The sequence below is a fragment of the Homo sapiens genome, chromosome 16 (genome assembly GCF_000001405.40).
Source record: "Homo sapiens chromosome 16, GRCh38.p14 Primary Assembly".
NCBI lineage: Eukaryota > Metazoa > Chordata > Mammalia > Primates > Hominidae > Homo > Homo sapiens.
In genome coordinates this window covers 25,567,471-25,576,869 of record NC_000016.10, presented here as the reverse complement: position 1 = coordinate 25,576,869, position 9,399 = coordinate 25,567,471, and the positions used below count along the sequence as shown (strand labels likewise).

The following is a 9,399-nucleotide window of genomic DNA, read 5'->3' as shown; positions in this document are numbered from 1 at the left end:
GGGTCGCGCAGCCTGTGGCTCCAAGAGTCTGAACCTCCCCAAATTGCTCCTGGGGATAACATCACTATTGTAAAACCTAAGGTCAGTGTTTGAGATGTTTTGCAGACCCTGCACTCGATGGATCCACTGACACCTTCCAGACCAGTAATCTGGCTCAACCAGTTCTGCCATCCCACCCAGGAACGGAAGACAGCAAGAAAACCTCACTTCAACCCCCTATGATTCCATCTCCAATCTGACCAATCTGCACTCTCACTTCCCGAGCCCCTACCCACCAAATTATCTTTAAAAACTCTGATTCCTGAATCCTCAGGGAGACCGATTTGAGTAATAATAAAACTCCAGTCTCCCACACAGCCGGCTCTGCATGAATTACTCTTTCTCCATCGCAATTCCCCTGTCTTCATAAATTGGTTCTGTCGATGCAGCGGGCAAGGTGAACCCACTGGGTGATTACAGCAATCTTCACTTAGCACCCTCCCCCTAGTACCCTCCACCTAGCAACCTCCATTTAACGGAAAACACAGGGCCTTTGTCCCCTGCACGACCTGCATTGCAAGGAATGGACCAGGGGGTTCCGATGTCCTTCATGCATAAAGAGTGATTCTCCAGATTGACCACTCCTGGATTCCTTAGCTTGGGACCCCAAACACACATTTTCTTAGACCATAGGGTCATTCTCAGGGTATGCTTAAGTTATTGTTGTCAGGTGCACCTGCCATACAGCCCCACATGTCAAAAGTGCTGCCTTTGAGATTATGTGAGCATCCAGGGGTCTCCCGCAGCTCTGAGTTCAGTAACTGGTGTCTGACTGCCAGCAAGAGAGCTGGGGAAGTTGCAGGGACAAGGGAGGCAGCCAGAGGCCCAGCTGTCATGTGGGCTCTATTTTCTGAAAATGTGAATGCATCTGATCTCCACTGGTCCCATAGGGTGGAGACTATTAATAAACTCCTGGCCCCGGAGGAAGTCTGCCCTGGAACTGGGACAGGTACAACCAGTAAGTGGGAAGCCTCTGAGACACCAAATTTGGATTGTCATGAAAGGCAGAAGTGGGACTGGCCAGAGATGGGGAGCCAGAGACAGCCAGCTCCTTCTAAGTGTGTTGGGGGTTGACCTTCAGGGCTTTTTCCTTGTTCTGTCCTGACTCCCTTCTGTATTCAAATTCCAGCTAACAGCTAGACTCCACAGGGGTGAGAGCAGTCTTTAAAGGCAAAAGTAAAGACCTCATTAAATGGAGGCATCCAGAGAATAGAATGAATAGAAATGAAACACTTTCAGCTACCCCTTAGGAGGCCCCGGCAGAATAGCACTTCTCAGTGGAAGACATTACCACCGAGGTAATTCCTTAATGAACTACATCTCTACAGTGCCCCCGGAGGCCCAGCATCACTGACAGGGAGTGGGGGAATTTATACCCAGCCCTCTCCCTCTCCCATGATTCAGCCTCAGACATGCAGTCCCAAGGCTGTAGGTGATGAAACGCTGGCCAGGCTGCGGGAGACCCAGAGAATTTGACTGCAAACCCATGCTTCCAATCTCTCACATGCTCTCACTGAGAGTTATGTGGACCTCCAAAGAGAGGCCTGGCTTTTTCAGTCTGCAGTGTTAGAATTTAAAAAGGAAAATTAAGGAATAGTACAAATTTTAAAAGTTTCAGTTGTCTTGGTGTCCTGGGAATCCTGGATGAAGAGAAACCTCTGCTTGGGCTAACCATGCTCCCCAAGTTAAGAAAATGAGATGTTTTATATAAGCGGGTATCAGGCCGGTGGTGCTGAAGGCTTGAGCTACTCCACACCCATAGAAAGCGGTGAAGGCAGGTCCGTGAAGCTGAAAGCAATGAGAGCTAGAACCAGAAACCTGGGTTTGAATCCTGGCTTTGTTGCTGAATGGTGATATGATATTATGCAAATTCTTAGCCTCCCTAGGGCTTAGAGAGTTGTGTTATTTGTAAGTTAGGGATATTAAACACCTAAAAATAAAATAAAATATATGAATAAGGTGAACTGTTTACTCCAATGAATAGCAGCTATCAATATATATCTGTGGCATTTTAGGTAATCAGGGAGAACTTCTTGATAGTCATGATGATAACAGCTAATATTGGTGAACCATTTATTACATGTTAGGCACCGTGCTTCCATCTTTGCATACATGAACCCATGTATTCCTCTTAACAATGCTGTGAGTAAAGGATTTGTCTTATGATCATTTTACACACAAGAAAACAAAGGCTCAGAATAGACAAATCATTTGCTCAGGGCCATATACCTGGTAAGAGTGAAACCACCTTTGCAAAAATTATAACAGTGATCCTGGGTGTGGTGGCTCATGCCTGTAATCCCAGCACTTTAGAAGGCTGAGGTAGGCAGATCACCTGAGGTCAGGAGTTCAAGACCAACCTGGCCAACGTAGTGAAACCCCGTCTCTACTAAAAATACAAAAATTAGCCAGGCGTAGTGGCGGGCGTCGGTAGTCCCAGCTACTCCAGAGGTTGAGGCAGGAGAATCGCTTGAACCCGGGAGGCGGAGATTGCAGTGAGCCGAGATCGCGCCACTGCACTCCAGCCTGGGCGACAGAGCAAGACTCCATCTCTAAATAAATAAATAAATAAAATAAATAAAAAATTAAAACAGTGAGAAAATGATGACAGTGAAAGAGATCTGGTCTAACCAACTCCCATCCTGCCCTTAACCTCCAAACTGCCCTTACTTATTCCTGGGTTTGGGAGAAGCTAATTTTGGGATAAATTTAGTTTAGAGTTTAAATGATAACTGAGGGCAGTTTCCAGCCAACAGCCCATGAAGAGCAGAGGCCCTCGGTCCAATAGCCAATGAAGAAATGAAGTGAATCCCACCAGCAACAGTGTGGGTGGGCTCAGAAGAGGACCCTCCGCCAGCCAAACCCTGTGGGAACTGCAGCCCTGGCTCACACCTTCATTGTCTCCTGGTGAAAGGACCCAGCTGAGTCACTCCCAGATTCTTTATCCGCAGAAATTGTAAGATCATAAACGCTATTGTGTTTTTTGTTATGATTTTTGTTTTTTATGTTTTTTTTGTGTTTTTTTTTTGTTTTTTTTGAGACGGAGTCTTGCTCTGCCGCCCAGGCTGGAGTGCATTTGCGTCATCTCGACTCACTGCAAGCTCCGCTTCTCAGGCTCACGCCATTCTCCTGACTCAGCTTCCCGAGTAGCTGGGACTACAGGCGCCCACCACCACGCCCGGCTAATTTTGTTGTATTTTTAGTAGAGACGGGGTTTCACTGTGTTAGCCAGGATGGTCTCTTTTCTCCTGACCTTGTGATCCACCCGCCTCGGCCTCCCAAAGTGCTGGGATTACAGGCGTGAGCCACTATGCCCAGCCTGTTTTTTATGATTTTTTAAATTCGCAGGTTAAAATTGTATATATTTAGAGTATACAACATGACATTTTGATATATATATATATATACACCATGTGGATTGGCTAAATCAAACAATTTTAAATATGCATTATTTCATATACTTACCAGTTTTGTAGTGAGAACACTTAAAATCTACTCTCTCAGCCATTTTCAAGTATACAATATATTGTTATTAGCTATAGTCACTATGATGTATATCTTTTGAACGTATTCCACCTATCTAATTGAAATTTTATGTCCTTCAACGAACATCTCTCTAATTTCCCCTCACCCCAGCCTCTAGTAACCATTATTTCACTCTCTGCTTCTGTGGGGTTTGACATATAAGTGACATCATGCAGTATTTGTCTTCTTTTTTTTTTTTTTTTTTTTTTTTTGAGATGGAGACTCGCCCTGTCACCCAGGCTGGAGTGCAGTGGTGCCATCTTGGCTCACTGCAACCTCCACCTTCCAGGTTCAAGCGATTCTCCTGCCTCAACCTCCTGAGTAGCTGGGATTACGGGCATGTGCTTCCATGCCCAGCTAATTTTTGTATTTTTGTAGAGATGAGGTTTCACCATGTTGGCCAGGCTGGTCTTGAACTCCTGGCCTCAAGTGATCTGCCCACCTCAGCCTCCCAAAGTGCTGGGATTATAGGCATGAGCCACTGCACCCAGCCAGTATTTGTCTTTCTGTGTCTGATGATTTCACTTAACATAATATCCTTTATGTTAAACTGTGTTGTCACAAATGATAGGATTTCCTTGTTTTTTAAGGCTGTATAGTATTCCACTGTGTATATATACCACATTTTCTCTATTCCAAATGCTGATGTGGCTGGATGCAGTGGGTCACACCTGTAATTCCAATGCTTTGCGAGGCTGAGGCAAGAGGATCACTTGAGGGCAGGAATTCAAGACCAGCCTGGTCAACATAGTGAGATCCTATCTCCACAAAACAAAAAAAAGTCTTTTTTAATTAGCCAGGCATGGTGGTGTACACCTGTAGCCCTAACTACTAGGGAAGCTCAAGCAGGAGGATTTCCTGAGCTCAGGAGTTCCAGGCTGCAGTGAGCTATGATTATGCCACTGCACTCCAGCCTGGGTGACAGAATGAGACCCTATCTCTAAAAAATAAAATAAAATAACAAATACTCTTGTTCAAAACTACTAGGTTTGGGGTAATTTGTTATATAGCAACATATAACTAATACAATATCTTTTAGCAAAAGCAAAGTGATAAGAGTATATGACCTATATATAAGCTATTTCCAAGAGGTTGAGGGAGAAAATGTTGGCAGGACAAACCCCAAAATTGGGGCCCAGTCCAGGAGACCATTAAGGGTTCTTGGCTTCATTCAGGAAAGAATTCAAGAGTGAACCACAGAGTAAAGTGAGCACACTTATTAAAAAGTAAAGGAATAAAAGGGCGGCTAACCCATAGGCAGAGTAGCAGCATGGGCGGCTTAACTGACTCTCCTTATGGTTATTTATTGATTGTATGCTACACAAGGAGTGGACTATTCATGAGTTTTCCAGGAAAGGAGCAGGGAGTTCCCAGGACTGAGGGTTCCTCCCCATTTCAGACCATGTAAGGTAACTTCCAGACATTGCTATGGCATTTGTAAACTATCTTGGTGCTGGTGGGAGTGCCTTTTAACATGCTAATCCATTATCATTAGCATATAATCAGAAGTGAAGATGATCAGAGGTTGTTTCTGTCACCATCTTGGTTTTTGGTGGGTTTTGTCAGGCCTCTGAGCCCAAGCTAAGTGATCATATCCCCTGTGACCTGCACATATACATCCAGATGGCCTGAAGCAACTGCAGATCCACAAAAGAAGTGAAAATAGCCTTAACTGATGATATTCCACCATTGTGATTTGTTTCTGCACCACCCTAACTGATCAATGTACTTTGTAATCTCCCCCACCCTTAAGAAGGTTCTTTGTAGTTCTCCCCACCATTGAGAATGTACTTTGTGAGATCCACCCGCTGCCCGCAAAACATTGCTCCTAACTCCACCGCCTATCCCAAAATCTATAGGAACTAATGATAATCCACCACCCTTTGCTGACTCTCTTTTTGGACTCAGCTCACCTGCACCCAGGTGAAATAAACAGCCATGTTGCTCACACAAAGCCTGTTTGGTGGTCTCCTCACATGGACATGTGAGACAGGTTTGGCCAGCTTCTTTACCTCATCCTGTTTTATCAGTGGGGTCTTTGTGATCTGTATCTTGTGAAACAAGTCTTGCTGAATTCCTAACTCAAAAGAGAGAATGATATGTTGCCCAATAATATTCCATAAACATGAGATATGATTTATGTAGGAAGGTGCTTAGCTTACTGTAATGCCTAATATATGGTAGGGATTTGTGGTATTGTGTGGGAGGGGATGATCTTTGAGAGGGAGATGTCCCTGCTCATTTGATATGTGGTCCTTTCTGTATACACAAGGCAGTAAATCTTTTCCCTGTCCCATGAGCTACCAAACGGTAGCTCCTGGATGTACACAGAAAATCATCCAGGATTTTTCAATCTTCAAATGACAGAATGCACCAATATCTAACAACTGGTGCCTTGGTACCACCTGGCTTCTTGTGGCAGTGCCCAGGACTAGCATTGTCATGTTGTCAAGACACACACCATGAAATGCTCCTCCCTGGTAGAAAATAAAATTAGCAAGACTTGGATTCCATTCATGAAAGATAACCATGTAATCACCAAGCCCACCTCTAACATTTTCAAGACATAGAGCAAGAATAAAAATAGAGGCCCATATACTATGTGTCCAAATAGTTATAAAATGAAAATCAAGCTATTGACTATTAAATAAAATATATTCTAGTCTCCTTCCTTGATAAATATATGAAAGAATTAACAGCCCACCAAAGTAGTAAAAAAAATTACCTTAAGCTGAAAACATCTGAATAAAAAGCAGCCACAGAAAAATTATCTGAACTTGAGCAGAGCCTCCCAAAAATAAAACTGCTCTTTACCCACCTCCAAGGGAGTTTCCTGTTTGGGAGAAGACTAATCATTAGCACTGGGAAGTGCAAATTCAGCTGCCATTAGCAACAAAAATCCCAATAGAACCCTTTATACTTTCCTACCTAAGCCCCAAGCCACACTCTTTCCCTTCTTTTGTTAAGTTGGTATAAAACGTTTACCTCTGGCTATTCAGTGAATTACTCATCACTAAGTACTCCTGCCTGCACATGTGAAAAAAAATTTTTCTTCTCTCCTGTTAATTTGTCTACTGTGAGTTAATTGGCAGGTCCTCGATCATTAAACCTAAGTTGGTAGAGGAAATGTTTTCCTCTCAACATATACCTTCATAACAGCCTAGAAGGCCCGGTCCTCAGGTAGAATTATCAGACTTGATTTGTGCATGGGGAAAGCCAACTCTCAGCCCTTGGCCCACCTCCAGCTCTGTCCCACACAACAGCCTCACATAGAAGCATGTGGATACCCTGGCTTGCATGTCCAAGCTCCACCCGCACTCACCCTTCAAACAACTGCACCTTTTACCAGCCATCAGGCCTAGGAAGGAACACACCAGCATAGTCCGCTCTCCAGAAGTCAGACACAGGAAGAAGTTTTTGCAGGGCTGAAACTGATTGATCGTGGGGCTATGTGGATAAGAAATTGCAGAATTCTCATGAGCAGATTATGGTCTAGAAGAGTCCCCAGGTATGTATGTTCCCTTGGCATTACAACTCTTCATCCTGGAAAAGGGAGGATGATATGCAGCCAGAGAACCATGACGGGGCCCTCGAACCACCACAATCCTTCTTGCTCAGGTCCAAGGGCAGTGCTGTAGCTATTAGTGCTTGAAGCGATGTTGTGTGCATGATAGAGAGGAAATGAAAAGACCATTAGCTGGGACTTGATGGAGCCACTGGGCCGGTGTCCACAGTGATGGGATTGCAGAGTGGAGTCAGCTGCAGACTCTGAGAGGAAGCCTAGTTGACTGGGCATGTCTTCCAGTATGGGTATATCAGTGACTGAAATGGGAGTTTTGTCCAAAGCCATCCATGCCCAGCATGAAGTAAAAATGGATATAGGAAGGTCAAAATGACCAGAGCAGGGAGCATCCTTTCCCTGCTGGTAGAAATGGACTAGGGAGGGTCAGAGCAGGGTGAGAGAGGAGAAAGAAAGAAACTGGTCAGGCGGGCAGTTAGGATGGGTCCTTGGTTGAATTCTTCCAAACAAAAGAACAACCTGCAGGCACAGATAAGGGAACTTGCACAGAAGGGTTTGCCTAAGACATGCCCACAGCTGCACAGGTAAGAAAGGCTACACAGGTGACTTGCCCATACATGCCCACAATGGAAAATTCCATTCCCTTACACATATGCAGTAAGGAGAACAAAGCAATATGGAGTAACTCAAGCTAAGGACCCGCATGCACACTAGGGGGACAGGGTGGAGCTACCAGAAATTTGCACCTTATACAAATGAGATGCCCAGCCCTCATTGGTTTCTTATAAAAGCCTTTGCATTCAACTGTAAAAATGCAACCCTCTTCCAGGTCCCCTCTCCACAGTGGAGAGCTTTCTTCTTTCACTTATTAAACTTTCACCCCAACCTTGCCCTTTGTGTCCATGCTCCTTAATTCTCTTGGTTGTGAGACAAAGAACTCCGGGTGATACCTCACAATGAGAGACTGCTACATTGTGGTGCATTGGTGAGACCGTAACAAGGACACACCCCAACATCTAGATAAGTAAGAAATTTTGATGTCAGGGACACAGTCTTGGCCACTAATCAGGGAAGAGGGGCTGAAAGGGTGACAAATTATCCTCTGAACCCAGAGATTGAGGAAGCCCAGTTAGATGGATGAACTTACAGTTACCAGGATGGGATCACCAGGTCAAAACCAGACTAGCAGCAAAATCATGTAATACGGTGTCCACTTTCCCATGTTTTAAAAATCTCAATACATGGCTTGCTGAATTACCCAGCTCACCCCCCTCTGGGAATTTTCAAGCAGCCAAGTGAAATTGCACTTTTCCTATGAATGCTTTCTAAACCCGTGTGCCAAGACAACAAACTACCCTCTCTGTCCTACTCCCTGAAGATGCCATTCATAGCTGGGAGGTGACAGGTGCAACAGGAGAGCCCATACAACTGGGTACCCAGCACGTGGACATTTGAATCATAAAGGTCTGGGTTAATTTTACAGCCACATCGTGGCTGTTTAAACCTCTCTCAGCATTTGTGTCCTCATTCCTAAAACACTAGTCCCTACTTCATAAGATTTTTGTGAAAAGTAAATGAGGTACTATGCATAAAGCATTTAGCATGGTGCCTGGAATACAGTCTGAGCTCAATAAATATCAGCCATTATTGCATTAGAGTTAGCTGTTCCATGACTATCTTCCATCCGAAGTTATTATTTCCTTAAGGCTGATGGCAGTGTCTTACAGCTTCAGAATCTGTCACAGTGACCTATTCAAAAAAAATTTACTTAGGGCCTACTATATGCCCAACACTATGCAAGGCTAATAATAAGCTATGACTAAATAGATTTTTTTTTTCTTGAGATAAGGTCTCTCTCTGTTGCCCAGGCTGAACTGCAGTGGTACAATCACAGTGCACTGCAGCCTCGACCTCCCAGACTCAAGTGATCCTCCCACTTTAGCCTCCCAAGTAGCTGAGATCACAGGTGCGCACCATCACATCTGGCTACTTTTTAAAAATTTTTAGTAAAGATGAGGTCTTACGATGTTGCCCAGAATGGTCTCAAACTTTTGGGCTCAAGCGATCCACCCACCTCAGCCTCTCAAAGTGCTGGGATTACAGGCATGAGCCACCACACCCAGCTAAGTAAAGATTTTTTGAATCAAATAAAGAAGTCAAGAGATTGTAGCTTATTATTAAGAATTTCCAAACTATAAAAGCTCATAAAGCATTTATAACTCATCTCGAAAGTTCCTTGTTTAAATGTTCAAGCAATTTTTTCCCTTTTTTTTTTTAGCACCTTAGGGGAAATAAATAAGATATTTTCTTTGCTT

General features: G+C 44.1%; 2 annotated features.

Annotated features, from left to right (window-relative positions):
* Positions 821–1,582: an enhancer, noted in NCBI's record as "NANOG hESC enhancer chr16:25586609-25587370 (GRCh37/hg19 assembly coordinates)". NCBI's record gives its function as "activates a minimal SCP1, AML or CMV promoter by ChIP-STARR-seq in primed H9 embryonic stem cells {active_cell/tissue: H9 hESC(primed)}" and the evidence as "EXISTENCE:reporter gene assay evidence [ECO:0000049][PMID:30033119]".
* Positions 6,927–8,126: an enhancer, noted in NCBI's record as "BRD4-independent group 4 enhancer chr16:25580065-25581264 (GRCh37/hg19 assembly coordinates)". NCBI's record gives its function as "activates an origin of replication core promoter dependent on BRD2, P300/CBP, MED14 and CDK7 cofactors, and independent of BRD4, by STARR-seq in HCT116 cells {active_cell/tissue: HCT116}" and the evidence as "EXISTENCE:reporter gene assay evidence [ECO:0000049][PMID:35650434]".